Source organism: Homo sapiens, chromosome 1 (assembly GCF_000001405.40).
Source record: "Homo sapiens chromosome 1, GRCh38.p14 Primary Assembly".
Taxonomy (NCBI): Eukaryota; Metazoa; Chordata; class Mammalia; order Primates; family Hominidae; genus Homo; species Homo sapiens.
Window position 1 is genome coordinate 111,909,020 of NC_000001.11, and position 19,517 is coordinate 111,928,536.

Genomic DNA, 19,517 nt, shown 5'->3' on the forward strand with positions numbered 1-19,517 from the left:
CTATAGGCATCAGGTGGGAACTTAAAATTCAGAAGGCAGACTCCTCAATTCTGAATTAACTTCCTTTCTTCCTGGGCACAAGAGGGTCTATGTTTCTCTCATCTTCTCCCTGGCCCCACACACACTCTTTCATGCAGTCAACATTCCTGCCCCACAATAGGTGTGATTGCATCCCATTATGTTGTCATGGCAATATCCATTGCCATCTGGGGGGTGGGGAGGTGGCAGTGGAAACAAATGAGTGGCCAATCAGGCTTTCCAGGAACGTCTCATCATGACACACTGCTCTCTGCCAACTGCCAGAGCTGAGCGGAATAAAGATGAGTGTGTGAGGACCCTATTGAGGGGGCACAATGATAGTACCCTGCCTAATCTCGGCCAAGGGATCGAGAGTCAGAGGGACATTTTGTCCATGTGAATGTCTCTTTGCTGAGTGACAGGTTATTGATCAGCATGAGATGGGAGAACCAAACAGCAAACGGTAACACAGAAAGCAAAAGGCCCTTCAAGGTGGTAATTGTTACGTGATACATATGAAGGATATATGGGAGTTAGTTCTTTTCGGTGCCGAGAAGGGCCAAAGATTATAGAACCTAGTGTCACCATGGTCATTGCTTCTTCCTTCCCCCCATTCCAGAAACAGAAAAGGAAAAGTCCTGTTGTCAAGACCTCCAAGGACAAGAACCAGTGAAGCCTGGTAACAAACACATTATGCTTTGAAGATCTGCCAGTTAACAGCTGTGTGGTCTCTCTCCGATTAACATCTCTCAGCCCTTTTTTCACCTTTATGAGATGGGGATTATAATACCACATCCCTTGTAGGGCCATTGTGAGGATTGAATGAGCTAATGCATGCCCACGTGCCCACCTCATGGTAAGAACTTCAGAGATATTAGCCATTACTATTCCAACTGATCACACACACTCAGTGCCACCAAGGATGATGCCACTGCAGTGTCTCCCTATCTCCCTACCTTAGGTTTCACGTTTTGGCGAGCAAATGCAGCAGGAATAAATTTTCAGTGGCCTGGGAGCCACAGCTATAGCCTTTTGCCATAAGAAACTCCCAAACTCTCTCTCTCTCTTTCTCTTTCTCGCGCTAGGTGGGAGCAAGCCATTGCCTCCCCCTCAGAGGACCCAGTGGAGAGAAGGTTGACAGCTTGGCATTCTCTTTGGAATGGCTGTTGACTTCGCACTGCCATCCACAGAAGAGCTCCATAACCCCACCCAAGGGCACGGAATGGCCTTTCCTTAAAGGTGAAGCACAACATCATTCTCAAGTGCCTTTGCAAATGTATGTGAACAGTCTTTCAAGGCTCATATCAAGAAGTCTCCAGTTCACACTCCTGTCCCAATATCCAGTGCCCGACATTGAGCCCCTGGGGCTTTCTGATCAAGAGTGGGGAGGACAACCAGCCAGAGTGGGCAGCTGAGGTCACCTGGAGTAATTAATCCTAAAGTTTACTGGTGCCTGTTCTGCTGGGGAGCAGGAATCCAATTACCCACAGTGACAGCAGCTTAGTCCCTGGGGAGATACTCATCTGCAGGGCGGCCAACAACCTGTCCACCTGAAATCTTCCCGAGAAGCAACACCAACCTCCACCCCCTTCACTTTCTCCGCACACCCTAGCCAGGCACAGACCTCAGCTAACCAGGACATTGCCCAGGCCACACTGCCTGGGTTGTGGTACAAAGGAGTGAATTCTGGGAGATTGGACCAGGACAGCTTCTAGAGGTCTCCTAACAAGAACCCATTTCTCCTGTAGAACGAAGACCAGAACTGGTCATTTACCCAGGCCGAGCCAGACCTATATGATACATCAAAAGCAGAACAGAAAGAAAGGGAATGAGAGAATCCAAATGAGTTTATTTGTCCATTAAATAAATATGCAAAATTATGCAGATGTGGAAATGGGCATACAATTTTTAATCAATTGCTCTGGCATCATCGTGAATAGACCTATGGTTCTGGATGAGGGGACCGCTAAGAGATAATTCTGGCCCCCTTGCCATCAGCATCCCAAAGAATGTACATTAGGAAGCAGGGAGGTGGTCTATGCCAGATGACCTTTTTGCTCTTTTTATGTGGCCCTGACTCTGACTAAGATGGGTTCCTACTTCTAGAATTTCTTCCCTGGACAAGAGTGAAAAAGTGGCCAAGTCTTTTGCATGGCTACCACCAGGGAAAGGAATTTGACTTTTGTAATGCAAATTTACTTCCTGGCTTGAAAGTACATGATTAAAATGATATGTTTCAGTGTGGGAGCCAGACAGCAGATTTGGTATTAGAAGGCAGCAGCTGCTGCTTACACACAGGGGTGTCTGCAAGGTACACGGAGGAGTAGGTAAAAAAGTATTTGTTGGGGCCTGGAGACCCTAGGACTTGCTAATCAGAATGGACCATTCAGGTGCACTTATATAAACCTAAACACAACAAGGGTGTAGTATAACAAAAGCTGAGTACCTTCAAATTGGTCATTCATTCATTCAACAACGTTTATTGAGTACCAAATCCATGTACCAGCTGCTGTATATAGTTATATAGCAGTGAACAACACAGACTTAGTGAAGACTGTTGACCAGGGCTCAAATTTGGACTACACCACTCAAGAATAATGTCATATTGGGCACGCTGCTTAATCTCTCTGTGCCCCAGTTTCCTCTAAAATAAGGATAATGCAAGTACATATTGCCACCTCTGCTTTCAGCCATGATAAAAAGAACTGGATTTACCTTTCTGTCTTAAACAACTAGAAAGTCATACAAAATATATGAAACAAATATTTTCAAACATTGGACAAAAGGCGATACAGGACTATGATCCTTGAGAGAGGTGAATCAAATGAGAGACCCCTACAATTTCTCTACCCTACTGCCTGCATCGGATTTCCAGGCTGCAGCACAGGGAAGGGGAGCCAAAACAGAGCCCAGAATTCTTGGAGTTCAAGACGACTGAGGCAGCTAGAGTGTGCAGGCACAATGCCAGAAACAGCTTTGGCTATCTGAAAGGGGATCCACTTAAAGAGCTTTGCCAAAATACTGATTTTCACATACAAGGAATGAAACTCCATAAGGCTGGAGAAAGAACCATCGCAAAGCACTAAGCCAAATGATTTCCAGAACTGGGAAGAGTTCATGTTCCCAGGTGAGAATGAACAGGTTTCATGATACAGTTGTGTGCTGCATAGCAATGTTTTGGCCAATGCCAGATGGCGTATATGATGGTGGTCTCATAAGATTATAAAAGAGATGAAAAATTCCTATCACCTAGTGACATAGTGACATCATAGTCATCTTAACACTGTAGTGCAATGCATTACTCACATGTTTGTGGTGATGCTGGTATAAACAAACCCACTGTGCTGCCAGTCCTATGAAAGCATAGCACATATAATTATGTACAGCACATAATACTTGATAATAAGTGACCATGTTACTGGTTTATGTATTTACCAGTTACTGTTATTTTACAGTGTCCTCCTATGTAGAAAAAAAAGAAAGTTAACTGTAAAACAGCCTCAAGGAGGTCCTTCAGAAGGTATTCATGAAGAAGGCATTGTTATCATGGAGGAGGATGGCTCCATGCATGTTATTGCCCCAGATGACCTTCCAGTGGGACAAGATGTAGAGGTGGAAAACAGTAATATTGGTAATCCTAACCTGATGCAGGCCTAGGCTAATGTGTGTGTTTGTGTCTTAGTTTTTAAAAAAGTTTAAACAGTAAAAAAACCCCAAAACCCCCTTTTTTAAAATAGAAAAACTTATATAGAGTACGGATGTAAATAAATATTTTTTATAACGGTACAACGTATTTGTGTTTTAAGCTATTACTGGAAGAGTCAAAAAGTTACAAAAATTAAAAAGTTTCTAAAGTAAAAAAGTTACAGTCAGCTAAGTTTAATTTATTATTGAAGAAGAAACAATTTTGTAGTATAGCCTAAGTGTACAATGTTTATAAAGTCCATACTAGTGTACAGTAATGTCTCAGGCCTTCATATTCACTCACCCCTCACACAGCCTCACCCAGAGCAACTTCCAGTTCTGCAAGCATCATACCTGATAAGTGCCCTAATACTGGTATACCATTTTTTATTTTTATACTGTATTTTTACTGTACCTTTTCTATGTTTAGATACACAAACAATTACCATTGTGTTACAATTGCCTACAGTATTCTATACAGTAATATGCTGTACAGGTTTGTAGCCTAGAGGCAATAGGCTATACCATATAGCCTAGGTATGTAGTAGGTTATACCATCTAGGTTAGTGTAAGTACACTCTATCATGTCTGTTCAACTAAATTGCCCAACAATCCATTTCTCAGACTGTATCCCCATTGTTTAGTGATGCACGATTGTATACAAAGCAACAGGTAGGGTCCTCAGAAAGGCATCACATTCACAGTGAGGCTAAATTAGCCCTAAACAAAAGGCAGTGCCAGACTTACCCTAAGAGATCTTAAAGCAAGCCCTAAAATAATCAAACTGATTCCAATTAACTTAACTCTATACCAGAACAAAGTCCAACACCCTTTAAAGGAATACAAAAAGAAAAGAAATCAGTGGCTAAGGTAGTAAAATTAACTATGTCTGGCATCTAATAAAATAGGGCTGTGTGTATTGACTCATGCTTGTAATCCCAGCACTTTGGCTGAAATGGGAGGATCACTTGAGCCCAGGAGTTGGAGACCAACCTGGGCAACATAGGGGGACCTCATCTCTAAAATAAGCTGGGTGTAGTGGTGTGTACCTCTGATCCGAGCGACTCAGGAGGCTGAAGTGAGAGGACTATTTAAGCCTGGGAGGTCAAGGCTGCAGCAAACCATGATAGTGCCACTGCACTCTACCCTGGGCAACAGAGCAAGACCCTGTCTCAAAACAAAAAACAAGAAACAAAAACAAACCCCACAAGTTATGCAAAAAAGAAAAAAGATAACTAATAAGCAGGAGAAAATCAATCATTAGAAAATGACTCAGAAATGCCAGAGATAATGGAATTAGCATACAAGAATGGTAAAACTACTATAGCCAATATACTATATGCTCATGAATTTACAGGAAAACATGAACATGGTAAGGATTAAAAAAGGAAGATAGAAAAGTGACCCCAATAAAACTTAAATAAAAGACAAAATACAATAACTGAAATAAAAATATAATAAATGAGATTAACAGATACATCAAAAGGATCAGTGAATTTGAAGAACAGAAATAGAAAATATTCAAAATAAAGCAAAGAAGGAAAAAAGATTAAAAAAAAAAAAAACCCATAGCATCGGTGACCTGTAGGAAAGTAACAAGTCATCTAACATATATGTAACTGGGGTCCCCAAAAAGAAGAGAAACACAGAAGAAATATTTTAAAGAGATGGTCAAAAGCCTTCAGAATTTGGTGCAACCTATAAACTCACTGATCCAAGAAATGCATTGAATTCCCAGTCAACACAAACCATACCAAGGCACATTATAACCAAATTGCTGAAAACAAGTGATAAAATCTTAAAAGCAGCCAGTGGAAAAAGGACATTACACACAGAGGAAAGACAAAGTGGCAGACTCTTGTCATAAATTATGCAAACCAGAAGACAACAATGGCCTTAAGTACTGAAAAGGAAAAAAACCTGCCAACCCAGAATTCTACATCAAGCAAAAATATCAATCAGAGATGAAAGCAGAATAAATACTTTTTCAGATCAAAGCTGAGATAAGTCATCACTAGCAGATTTGCCTGTAAGAAATTTTAAAGGAAGTTCTCCAGGAAAAAGGAAAATGATACTAGATATAAATCTGGATCTACACAAAGGAATAAAAAACACTGGGAATAGTAGATATGTGGGTAAATTGAAATAAATTTTGTACTCATTTTTGAAGTCTCTTTAAAAGTGTTAACTGTTTAGAACAAAAATTTTCACTGTATTGTTGGATTTATAAAATATAGAGGTAAAATATATGACAATTATATCACAAAGGACAAGAGGTACAAAATTGAATATATAAGTTTTTTATAGTATACATGAAGTGGTATATTATTAGAAGGCAGATTTTGATATGCTAAAATGTATATTTTAAATCATAGAGCAACCACTAAAAAAAAATACATATGGATAATAAGCCAGCAGCGGAGATAAAGTGAGATCATAAAAATATTCAGTTAATACAAAGTAAGGCAGAGAGGAAAACATAAACAAATTACATATGAGACAATCTGAAAATAAACAGCAAGATAGTAGACTTAAACTCAATCATATCAATAATTACATTAAGTATACCTAATCTAAAAACTTCAATTAAAAAGCAGAGATAATCACATTGGATTTTTTTTTTAAAAAGCAAGACCTAACTATGTGCTATCGGCAAGAAACACACTTTAAATATGAAGACACAAGTATGTTAAAAGGAAAAGAACAAAAAAAGATATACCAAGAAAAGACTGATCAAAACAAAACTGGAGGCCGGGTGCAGTGGCTCATGCCTGTAATCCCAGCACTTTGGGAGGCCGAGGTGGGAGGATCACGAGGTCAGGAGATCGAGCCCATCCTGGCTAACATGGTGAAACCCCGTCTCTACTAAGAAATACAAAAAATCAGCTGGGCGTGGTGGTGGGCGCCTGTAGTCCCAGCTACTCGGGAGGCTGAGGCAGGAGAATGGCGTGAACCCAGGAGGCGGAGCTTGCAGTGAGCCGAGATCACGCCACTGCACTCCAGCCTGGGTGACAAAGTGAGACTCTGTCTCAAAAAAAAAAAAACAAAAAAAAAAACTGGAGTGACTATATCAGACAAAGTAGCCTTTAGAACAAGGAATATTACCAGGACTAACAGGGATTTTATAATGATAAAGGGATAAATTAAAAAAAAAAACAAAACCCTAAATGTATATGTATTTGTTGATAGACCTCAAAATACATGAAGCAAAAGTTGATATAAAGAAAGGAGAAATAGACAAAACCACACCTATAGTTGAAAATTTAAGCATTCTTGTCTCTGTAATTGATAGAAAAAGTAGGCTAAAAATCAGGAGGGGTGTAAAAGACTTGAACAATCCCATCAACCTCCTCGATCTAACTGACATTACTAGAACACTCGAACCAACAACAGCACAATCCACATTGTCTTCAGGTGCATATAAATCACTGGCTAAGATAAGACCGTATTCTAGACTATAAAGTCTTAATATATTGTGATAGAATGAAATCATATAGCCTTTAATTTGACCATACTAGAATTAAACTAGAGATAAAAAATAAAAAGATACCTGGAAAATCCTCAAATATTAGAAGATTAAATAAGGCACTTCTTAAAAACCCATAAGTCAAATTTAAAAATCACAAGGGAAATTAGAAAATATTTTGAACTGAAAAAAATGACAATATACCAAAGTCAATGGTATGTAGTAGCTAAAAGTGCTTAGAAATAAATTTATAGCATTAAATGTTTATACTGGAAAATAAACAAGTCTCAAATCAATGATCTAAGCTTCTACTTCTACCTTAAGAAACCAGGAAAAGAAGAAAACTAAATCTAAAGTATGCAGAAGGGAAAGAATAATGAGCAGAAGTCAATGAACAGAAAGGCAAAGAGAAATCCAATAAAACCAAAAGCTCTTTTCTAAAAAAGATGAATAAAATTAAAAAAATGCCAGACTAATCAAGAGAAAAGACAAGATCACCAATACAAGACATGAAAGATGGAACATCACTACAGCTTTCACACACATCAAAAAGATAATAAGAGAATATTATAAACAACTTCATGCCAGTAAGTGTGAAAATTTAGACAAATTGGAGAAATTATTTGAAAGACACCAGCTACCAAACTACCAACACTCACTCAAGAAGAAATAGATAACTGGAATAGCCCTATATCTATTAAATAAATTGTATTTCTAGTTAAATCTTTCCACAAATAAAATTTCAGGTACAGATGGCTTCACTGATAAATTCTACTAAACATTTAGGGAAGAAATAATACTAATTCTATATAAATTCTTCAGTGTAATTGATCATACAATAGACTAAAAAAGAACGCCCATATGATCATCTCAAAAGATGTATAAAAAGCTTTTAACAAAATGTGATACCTATTTATGACTGGAAAAAATCCTACAGCTAACATCATACTTAACAGTGAAGACTCGATATTTATTTTCTCCCTTGGACTGATAACAAGGCAAGAATGCCTGCTTTGATCATTTCTATTTACCATTTCATTCAACATTGTATTGAAAATCCTAGCTGGTACAATAAGGCAAGAAAAAAATTAAAAAGGATGCAAACTGGAAATAAGTAAAACTGCAGGCTCCATGCTCATCCGTGTAAAAGTACCCCACTTCCTAGGGAAGGCGTAATGACTGAATTACAAGGACTGCACTGCAAGTATGTGGAGTGCTTAGAATAGTCCCTGGAACCTCAAAAGTGCTCAGTAAATGCTCACTATTATTGTTAATTCAAATGATTACAGAACGGAACTGAGATTATATAATGGGGATCTATCCATTGATGGAGGTGGTTGTGAGAAAAATGCCTACTTGCCTCCGAAGCACCAGACGCTCATGCCCATGTAGGAATCGGGGAGGGCCATTGGAAGACGGGGAAAAATGAGCCCTTACATTGGTACTTCTCCATCAAAGGCCATTAGGACTCCAAATCTCATATAATCCTTTAATGACCGTGGGAAGGGACAGGGCAGGTAGAATTATCTTCATCCTAAGGATGGGCGAACTGAGGTAAAGAGCCATAGACCTGTGCAATACCAGGAGTAGTCCTGAGGTCTCCATCCCAGACCACTGCACCTTCCACTACACCATTCTTCCTTTCCACAGGACAGGTCTCAAAACAGGGTGCTTCCCTGCTTCTGCAGACGGAATTGAATAGGCACATTTATGAGAAGGATGGTCCAGAACACAAGTGCACCTTGATAAACAATGGTAGTCTACGAGGCACTGGGGATCCAGGATCCTGAGGATTTGCCTCTTTGCTTTTGTGAGGTTGTCCTACCCTGCATATTTGGCCGAGGTTTACACAATGAGGCTCCTAGAAGACTAAAACTTAAAATACCCAAATCCAATTGTGGCACATAATAAGTGCTCAGTAAATGTTTACTTAGAAACTCGAATCTGACTGGAGCCCAGGGAAGATGCAAGTGGCTTAGATTTAATGAAATAAGTGTGCACAAGAAAACCACTTTGTAAACTGTAAAACAATGTACAAACACTGACGTCAATGCTAGCAGTTGTGTGAAAAGACAATGAGATCTAAAAAGGAAGACCTGAGCAAACTGTCTTTTGGGTGAGTGTAGGAGCAGAGCTCGGAAGAGACCTGGAAACTTGAAAAATAGAGTTTACAAAGCATGTAGTAAATTAATTGATAGGCATAGGGCTTGGGGAGAGAAGCAGGCTTCTCTAGCATCTCTTAAGGACTTTTCAGTACCGTGCTACATGCTAGAGAGACAGAGATGAAAAGACACAGTCCCACCACTAACCAGCTCATAGCCTTGTGGGGAGCAACAGGCACATAGAGACCCTCCATAGCTATAGTGAGTGCTGGGATGGTGGTAAGTCCATGGTGCTTTGGGGGCACAGAGGATTTGGGGAAGGGGAGAGGGGAGTTGCTAGTAAGACCAGAAAAGAGTGGTGATAGAAAGCAGTTTTAATATGAAACTGAGGGGCTGAATGGAGCCCAAATAAAAAACAAAAACAGCTTAATTTCCTTTGTTGCCCAAAGGAAGTATGGGAAGTACTTTTCCAGGCTGGAGGCAGGGAATGATGAGCCAGGAAGTACAACTAGGGATGATGAAGCAGGCTTTTGAGTCATGAGATTATTTTTCTGTGCATGGGTTATACCCTCAAGATTTTGCCACCTAATGAATGTTAAGATGATTTTTACATCTTAAATGACTGTGTGTAGAAGCCCCTGTAGAGGGGAGGCAGCTGAGGAAGGGTGAAGAGGGGAGCTGTCCAAGTGATGGCAGAAGAAAGATGACAAAATCACATGAGAGGACCTGGTGCTGAGCTGTGCTAGCCCCAGAGCCTGAGCTCAGGGCATCATTTCACCCCCGGGGTGCCTTCATTCATTAATTCATTCAGCAAAAATGTCTTGAGTACCTACTATGTGCCAAGCACTGTTCTAGATGCAGGGAATGGAGCAGTAAACAAGGGAGAATCCTTGCCCTCAATATACTGGCATTCTAGATTGGGGAGACAGACAGTAAACAAGTGTACAAGTAAATGAACAAGATAAATATAGGTAACGATAGGTGCTATGAATGAAGTAAGAGAGGGTAATGGGACCAAAGGGAGGCTGATGGTGGGCACACAGCTGAGGTGGGTGGCAACTCTAGGTATGGGGTTCAGGGAAGGCCTCTCCAAGGGTGTGACCTTTGCCTGGGACCTGAATGATAAGAGCAAGCCCTATGATGATGTGGAGGAAGCAGAAGAAACAGCTGGTGCCACAGTCCTGAGGCAAATTCAAGGACTGTAAAGAAGGCCAGAGGAGATAAAGCCCTGAGGGCAAGGGGGCATGGTATGAGATGGGTTAGGAGAGGAGGCAGGGTCTCATCGGATAAGGTCTGGAAGGCTCTGGGATTTTATTCTAAGTACCTCAATTTGTCCCTTACCAAAGTGGTCCCCAATTCAGATTGAATGATGTCCCCGAAGCAGGCTGGGCAAATTTACACATGAACAAATACAAAAATCTCACAACAAAGTTCTTTCAGTCAAACCCGTGCTGGAGTCCCCTCAGCAACACTCTTACCACAGGATAACCTCACCTAAAGCTGGAACCCAGTCCCTCCTGAGATGGCATCTTGGGACTGTTAGGATTCAAACCGATTTGAAACAGGTGCCACTCATTTCTCCAGGCTCTAAGCAGCATGTGAATGAATGACACTGCCCTTGAAGGGGCCAGCCTGGATGGAGGGAGATGGGGAATGTTTCAAGGTTCTCATTAGGAGCTCAGGTTGCTGCTATAACATCTCCCTCTCGTCTCTACTTCTTACTCCTCCTTAGGAACAGGGAATGAAGGACAGCTTTGCCCCCAGGCCACTGGACCAATGACCACCTGATGCCCTAGGGAACGTAAGGGAGTGGGAGAGAACCCCACCTGGCCCCTCCAGCTGGTAGACAAAATGGAGGCCTCCAGTTCCTGCCAATGTTCCATCTGGGGAAGGTCATGCAGACCCTGCACTCACAATCAACTGGGCAGAAGCAAACCCTTGGGGAGGGCAGGGCATGCAGCTGCATGGGCGCCATCTGCACGTGAGTCCTGACCTGGGGGAGGAGAGGTCGTCTTCCTACAGCCCGACCTCACACATTCCTTCAGCATCTCTGGGAAATAATCACACTCCCCACACTGAAGAAACACAGTCAACAGATTCTGGTTTCCTAGATACGCCAGTGGCTTCTAAAAATAGCCAGGCAATGACAAAGCAAATTGGCATATGGACTGCAAATAATTCCAGTACCAGCTTGCTTGGCAGCACTCAAGCCTCCCAGTGCTGGGTGCTTCCTCCTCTTCCCTCCCGTTTCTGAAACAGTCTCTTGCTGCTGAAAACCCCAGGCCAAATGTGAGCGAAGGGGCAGCTGCAGCCCCTGTGGGGGTCCAGCCCAGGGCTGGTGCACTCTGCTGGGCTGAAGCCACTCCAGGCTCCTCCTACTTCCCTCCTCATCCACTCCACATGCTCTGCGGGTCCCCACTCACGCTGAAGGTCCACTGCCAGTCAAGCCACCGGTAGCTCTGTGTGTGCCCCAACACTCCCAAGCAACCAACCTCTTCCTTTGTGTAACCAAGATGGGGCTGCCTTGACCTTCTCACTCCAGGACTCCTCTTCTGGGGATAGGCCACTGTCCACGGTACCTCTTACTTTGACTCAATCCCTCCCCTGGCCCCAGCAGGGAGTCTTTGCAAAGTATCCTCTTTATCTGCCTTTCTTCATTCTCTAAACCCTGTGTATGGTTGTGTGCAATGTGCCAGGCTTTGTGGTGGGCAGCATACCCAGCAGTGGGAATTCCAGGGGGAAGAAGACAGGTCTGTGGCTGGAAAGAGTAAGGAAAACTAACATGGTTGAACTCCTACACTTAGCCAGCCACTCTGCTAAGTGAGCCTCACAAGTTGTCTCATTTATTTCTCATTCAATCTCTATAGTGCCCTATGATGTAGAGATTCTTATTGTCTTCTTAACTCTGTAAACCAATTGAGGAAAGCAGCTCCTAGGAGTTGAGTAACTTGTGCAAGGCTACAGCTGAAAAATGTGTAGCTGGAATTTGCTTTTACAGCCGTACAGCATAAGGGCCCTCGAATCTCTTCCATGAAGCCAGAGCAGCTCCCTCAAGCAGCTTATTCTTCAATGGAGCTTGGGTCAAGGCCAGGCGGTTAACAGACCCCATCTCAGAGAATACAAGAGTCTTTTGGAAGGACCATTTACAGAGGTAGAGGCAGGATTATGGGGACCAGCAAGAGATGCTGAGGCACCCAGGGACTAGCAATGGCAGGAAGCTGTGTCTACCTCAGGCCTGAAAGGGCAGGGGAGGGAGTAGGGATGAGGGGCTGCCCAGCAGCAGCGCCAATCATGAGAAAGTGGGGAGAAAATACCTCATGCCTCTCTCTTCCCACCTTTAGGTCTCCCACAGGCTGAACTCAACTGGATGCCAGGCACAAGGGAGGACTGGGGATGCAGTACAAGTCTGCCAACTGTTCCAAGTAATGTTTTATCTTTGCAGTGTCACCAACCACCTGATTTCTCCCAGGCCTTTGTTAGGAGGAATCACTACGTATTTTCATGGTTAATTTTTTTCATTGCATGAAAAAAAAGCTGAAAGGGGTACCCTGGCCTTGCCTTTTCTAAAACTGTTAGGAAGATCAACAGGATAAACCAGGGGTCTGAGCTCCTGGGGAGATAATGTGGATGCCTAAATATTAGCTATCCCAGTGGTAGGGATAACAAGAAAATGCTTATGGGTAAGCAATGATTTAAAAAATTTTAACGCTACTGCAACAGCCACGGTGTTCTCTTCTCAAGGCAGCTAAAAAACTCACTCTGCAGACATTTCTGTCTCCAACTATTTGTTGCCTTGAAGCCTAAGAATGCTTCCAGGCAGCCCTAACTTGTCCAAGACGAACACAAGAGAGGCGATGCCATTATGAACCCATGGCCACAGGCAGCATCTTTAATTCATGAGCAGGGCGGCATTGGCAGGAGAAAAGGAAGGGAGACATTAAGAGGAACTGCCTTGAGGCTCTGCCTTGGACTCAAGGTAAAACTGAGATTTTAGCCCATTCCAGCACAGCTAAGTGGTTTTCAATTTGTGTTTGAGGAAGGGTGATACAGCTGCGGTCAGGACAGGAGGGGTTCTTCCCACACACCAGACCACCAGGTGCTAAGAGCACTGTGGAAGATGCACCAGCAGTTATTCCTGTACTTTTATTCATTCATTCAACAAATGTTTACGGAGTACAGTACAGCATTTAAGAGTGAGCTCTTCTGAGTCAGAAAGTCTAGGTTCAAATCTTGCTCCATACTAGCTGTGTGACTTCAGGAAAGTTTGCTTATCCTCTCTGTGCCTGTTTCCTCTCTTTTAAGTGGGGATAATATTAACAGCATTTATATCATAGGTTGTTAGGAAGATTAATTCAGTTAATACATGTAAGGGCTCTGAACAGTACCTGGCATATAGGAAGCATGGTGGAACCTTGCTAGATCCACTTTGGCTATGCAGTGAGATTTGGATTTGAGTTCTGCATCTAGCAATTAGCAGCTGTGTGATTTCAGGCAAGTTACTTGACCTTTCTGAGCTAGAGTTGCCTCATCTGTAGGAGAATAAGTCTCTGTTTTATATGGTAGTTGTAAGAATTCAATGAGATGGCAATGTATAGTATTCAATAAATATTGACTGTCTCTTCTGTTTTGATAATGGCCCTGCCTTAAGGCTAATGTCTGGGGGTAAACCAGGCACACACATTCAGATCTGATCATCCCTGCAGGCTTTGAATGACTACTGGAACACCAGTGAGGAGGCCTGGTTCCACCCTGTCCTCATTAGCTGTGTGACCATGTGCAAATTGCCTGACCTCTCAATCTCAGTTTCCCAACCAGCAAAATGAAGGGGTTGGAATATATGGCCTCTAAGGCCTCTTACAGCTTGGGGCACATTCTCCCAGACCCTCTGGACTTCTGCCCAGACCTAGTCTTGAGAACCAGTGTGGGACAGTGGAGAGGACACGGCTCATCAGAATAGATATGGGTTGCATCCTAGGTACCTGATGGCCTAGCACAGCATCAGACACGACCAGAGGTGGTTTCCTGCCTGCTTCCCTTGCCAGCACAGTCATTACTATCTGATTCCTCAATGCAGGGCTGAGGCTGAAAAGCTGAGATGTGCCCCAAGATTGCCCTATACCCTTCTTCCTGTGCCCCATCTTCCCAAAGTGACTTCCTCTGGTTCTCCAACAAGCTCAGGGAATCTATCCCACTGAAGCTTCCAGGCTCAGGACCCTGACAGGTAGTTGTGCCTAACCTGAAAGTTTATAGAAGCATCCAACCTGGGCAGCTGGGCTGGTGAGAGGGAGTGTGTGTGACCTTTTCACTTTTGTCTCCAGGATTTTAATCTCCGGTGTTATAACACCTGGGTCAACATCTTGGAAATTTATTTCTGTACTGCCAGCTAAGGAAGCTGCACATATTTCTGTCTCAATGAAAAAACCAACAGGGCCCTGCTACCTCGTCTGAAGCTCTAAGCTCCTCAGCAGAGGTGCAGCGCAGGGGCTTCGTGCACAGGGTGCTAATGGTCAGTTGACTTAGGGCCACCACACTGGTAGGTAAATGACTCCTCCTTACCTTACTCCTCCTCCTGAAGGCAGTGGGGTGGGCAGAAATGCTGCTTCAAGCACCACCATGCAGAGGGGGCTGGGCAGAGGGCATGGGAGTGTCTGACCACTGGACAAATGACATGGCTTAGGACTTCAATCATGCAGGAATTCAGGAGTTGTTCCTCCAATGTGCCCACGGGCCAGGACCACCAGCACAACCCTAACTAGGACTCGCAGTCACAAGCAGATGGCTCATGGCAGCACAGGCCACAGAGAGTTGTGCATTGCACTCTACTGCCCTCCAACTATTCATTCATATCCACTCCACATTCATCAAGCACCTGCGTGCCAGGCACTGAGTGTGAGACCTCAGAAGCAAAGGTGAACAACATGAGCAGCCTCTCTCTGAAGAGTTTCTAGCCTGGAAGGGGAAATTATGGACACACGAACAAATAATTATGATAATGTGCACTAAATGCTGTAATACAGCTATAAAGTGGTCTCTGAGCAATAAATATGATGCTCAGGGACCACAGGAGATTCTGGAGAACATTACACCCTATAGAACACTGTTGAGAGAAGCAGAGATGGAGCTTCATCAGGCCTGCACAGGTCATCCAAAAGCATTTCTAGCTCACACCTTAGTCAGTGAAGTTTTTATTTGTTAACATGTGTAGGAGACCAAGCCACAGGCTGCAAGCTTGGGCTCAGGGGTTGTCCAATGGAACAGCAGGGCAGAGCCATCCCAGCACAATGGCCAAAGGTCCCTCATACTTAGAAAATGCCTCCCTACCAGGACTTTGTCAGCCTGAAGGGCCAGGGCAAGGGTGCCCTTGGATGGTCTTAGTTTAGGAGGAGCAGAGGTCAGGGCTGCCGTAGCTCAGGGCTATTTCAGGACACTTAAGACATAACAGACTGGCTTGTCTTCCCTCCAGACACTGGCTGCCTTGCATCTGACTCTTTAATTTCCCTGGAGAGGAAAACATATTGCTTCTGGCTATGACCCTGAGAGGGACAAGAGCATCCTCCTTTCTGATTGCTGTCTCCTACCTGGGAGGGAAGCCAGACCCTGCATGTGTATCCACTCTGTAAGTGAACACTTCTGAGACAGGGATCTGTGGAGCCAGCCCAGGAGTCTTCAAATGAAGGCCTTTGCTGCTCTCATCTCCACCTTGTGGGCAACCCGACCTATCCAGGGACTAGCACTAAAAGTTTGGGTGATGCTTCAGACCTCACCTCAAATGCCCCTTTGACCTCTGTGGTCAGCTGACTGCCAGGGTACCAGGGAGGACAAAGAAGAAGCTGGCTGGCCTCACTCCCCACACCTAGGCTGCCCATGGCCCTTGTTGCTGGCGCAGGCTGCCCTGGCATTCAGCAACCCCAGAATGTGTGTCCATGTTGTGCCAGGTACTATGAGATGTATTGAACAAGAGCATTTGCTGTACGTGGGTTAACTCATTTCATTTTCACAAGACTGTTTCTGCTGTACATATGAGCACTAAGGGGTTATGGGACTTGCTCAAGGTCACCCAAGCTAGCAAGTGGCTGGGCTAGGATTTGAACCCTACGAATATGATTTTAGAGCCCAAGTTCTTACCTACTGCATCATTCTCACTTGAATTCCTCATTTAACTTTGGAAGCATCACAGTGTCCTTTTAAAATAGCAGTTTTAGTGGTTAACAGAGCAGGTTCTGGAGTCAGACACAAGGAGACCTGGGTTCTAACTGTGTGATTTTGGAAAGGTCACTTAATCTCTCTGGGGCTCGGTTTCTTCATCTGTAAAATGGAACAAGAACACCTGCCTTCAAGGAGGTAAAGATGGAATAATGTACTCAGCACACTGAAGCTCTCATGGGCAGTTAGTTATGTACTTTCTTCTCTTGTCACAAGTCCAGTGTTTGTGACAAGAGAAGAGTGCCTGCCCATGTGGTTTATCAGGCCCTCCTATTGAAAGCTGGGGTGTGGTGGTTAATGGGTCTGGCTCTGATGTAACTCGAAAAAAGACCAACCCCCCAACATGAGATTAAAGGATGGGCTTCCAGGGACTGTGCACAGGGGCTAGGCATCCTTCCCCCGACACCATCCTCTTTCCCAGCCTTAGTATCCTCCCCCTCCCCACTGATCACAAAAATGCCTTATTTGCCCAATTATTATACATACTAATCATTTCCATTTATATGCCTAGCTTACCATTTATTCCTAATTATTGTGCAGTTCAGAAACAATTATGCATACCATTAAGGATGTTATCAGGGTAACTTTGCAGTGAATTTTACTTAACTTCAATACTAAATGGTTTGTGTGTGATTCACTCCACAGTTTGTGGTTCCCGTGGCATAAGAGCTCCTTCAACTGAGTTGGGGGACATTAGTTCCCATGGCATAAGATCTCCTTAAACTGAGTTGGGGGACATTAGGGTAGGCCACACTGCACTGTGATGGTACATAAGAACAACTGTGGGAGTAGCAGCAGCAGTAGTAATAGCTGCAATTCCTTGAGCGATTATGTACTGGACACTTCAGCATTTCTATACATGATATCATTTGAACTCCATAGCCAACCTCTTATTAAAGATGAGGTGAGGCACAGTGGTTAAGTAATGCATCCAAGGTCACCCAGATGGGAACTGGCAGGCCTGGGGTTCAAATCCAGGTATGTCTGAGTCCTGAGCCTGACCTCCATCACCTCACAGGTGCCTGTCCCGTAGAAGGGTGCAAGGTGAGCCCTGGTGGTGGCAGGGAGGGGCTTGGAGGCCATCCAGTCCATTCCCCTTGTTCTCACGGTAGAACACTGAGGCTAGAGTGGGGAAGTGGCTTGCCCAGGCCTGCAGGGCCAGGTGAGGACAGACCGGGATAAAGCCCTGCTTCTCTCAATGCCTGGCTTCCCCTTCAGCACTTTAGGAGGCAGCTGTACTGGGGACAGAGGCAGCATCTCTGAATTCTTGTTCATCGCTCGGGGCTGACGCAGGCAGCTGCGCGCACCTCACTGCTAGATCGTCAGCCTGGTCAAGAACAGCAGTTTGCTCTAATTCTTGAAAGCTGACCTGCTTTAGGAAGTGCTCCCTTTGGAAGATGCCTGGTCTCTTCCCCTTCTGTCCTTTTTTCTTTTTTTTCTAAACATGCATCTCCTTTCACTCCTTCATTTATCTTCCCTCAAAAGGCAACTGCTAGCATTAACTGAGTACTTACTAGGGGCTGATTATGCTGCTAAGTGCTTTATGTCTATTTTTCCACTGAATCCTCACAATACTTCTGTGAGGTAGGAACCACCATTATCTCCCCATTTGCTAGCTAAGGACTCTGAGGCCCAGAGACATTAAATATGGGCCCTGAGTCACACAGCTGGGAATGTCAGAGCACAGATTTAGAGCCAACAGATTTAGGACCAACGAGATGGGGCTGCCCCCCAGTGGGGGCTATGGGGTGCCCACAGGCTGAGGAGGCTGTGAGGAGCAGGGCTCCCTCTTACCACAGAAGCCTGCAGACTCTGTTCTCACTCCAAGGCCTGGTATCTAGGCCTCAGTGTTCACACCCATAGGTGGAGGAGGGCACATCATTTTCTCATCCACTTTTGGAGACCCCTTCCTGAATGGGCATGCCTCCCTCTTTTTGGCTATAAGCCACTGAGTTAGAGAACAGGATGGAGAATGTGATTGACAGCCCATGTCCTCCTGTGTAGCTGACTGCATTACAGGTGAAAGGGCAAGTCACTACTTCCCACGTGTGCAGAGGGAGAGAACCCTGGGGTGGACTTTCCAGGATGAAATGTGAGTGACAATGCTTATATGCATTTCTCTCTTTCTTCTCTTTGCCTTCTCTTCCTCCCTCTTTCCTCCTTCCTTTTCCATTCATCCAACAAGCATTCACTGAGTCCTCACTCCATGCTGGGCACTGTGCTAGGCACCAGAGATGCAAAGAACAGCCCTGCCCTAGGGGACAAGCACTCATCAGAAAAGTGGGCCAGAAATCACAGTGGTGTTGTAAACATGACAGCAGGAGGGTGAGGCCAAGCCAGGGCTCACTCCTCTTCCCTCTCCACAGCACTCCTCAGGCATCCCAGGCCTGCTCCTGCCGGCCTGTCTGCTCCCCATGTCTGGGACGTTCCTCTTCCCAGACACAGGAGTGGCTCACTCCCTCAGCATTTTGAGGTCACTGCTCACCTCTCCCAGGGCCTCCCCTACCCACTGCCTGGACCTACCAGGCCCCTGCCACTCTCCATGCTCTAGCCCTGCTCTAGTTTTCTCCATAGCGCACTTACCACCACTGACTTTTTAATTTTTTTTTTTAGCTAACGTATCTCTAGGTTATTAACTCCCATTAGAATATAAGTTCCATGAGGGTAGGAATTTTATTCTACTTTGCTCACTGCTGTATCACCAAATGATTAGAACAGTGTCTGTCGCATAGGAGCTCGACAAATACTTGTTAAATGAATGAGTGGCATAGAGGTCATGGTGCACTAGAAAGTGAACGGGCCCTGGAGTGAAGCTCACCTACTCCCCGGGAAGCTCAGCTTCTCGGAGTCTCAGCTGATGGGATACCTGCTTTTAAAGATCTCCAAGTCCCTTCTTACCTTCCCACAAAAAACGCAGATCATGGCCCATGCCTGCTGTTCCACCTCAGTGGAAAGCAGCGGGAATGAAGCTCAAGCAAAGACCAGGGGTGGGGCCTGGCTGTGGAGCCCACTCCTAAGTGGCTTCAGACGGCATCACGCAATTG

The 19,517-nt window shown here is 44.4% G+C and overlaps 1 protein-coding gene and 1 long non-coding RNA gene across 9 annotated transcripts in view; one reads left to right on the top strand and one right to left on the bottom strand.

The window, feature by feature from the left end:
• The window catches only part of KCND3 (potassium voltage-gated channel subfamily D member 3), a 219,007-nt gene that overhangs the window by 138,358 nt on the left and 61,132 nt on the right, over positions 1–19,517 (bottom strand). The gene's annotated exons all lie outside the window — the stretch shown is intronic.
• KCND3-AS1 (KCND3 antisense RNA 1) lies at positions 638–1,911 on the top strand. Its single transcript, NR_046619.1, has 4 exons — positions 638–697; positions 823–874; positions 1,104–1,294; positions 1,767–1,911. It is a non-coding gene; the product is annotated as a KCND3 antisense RNA 1 (long non-coding RNA).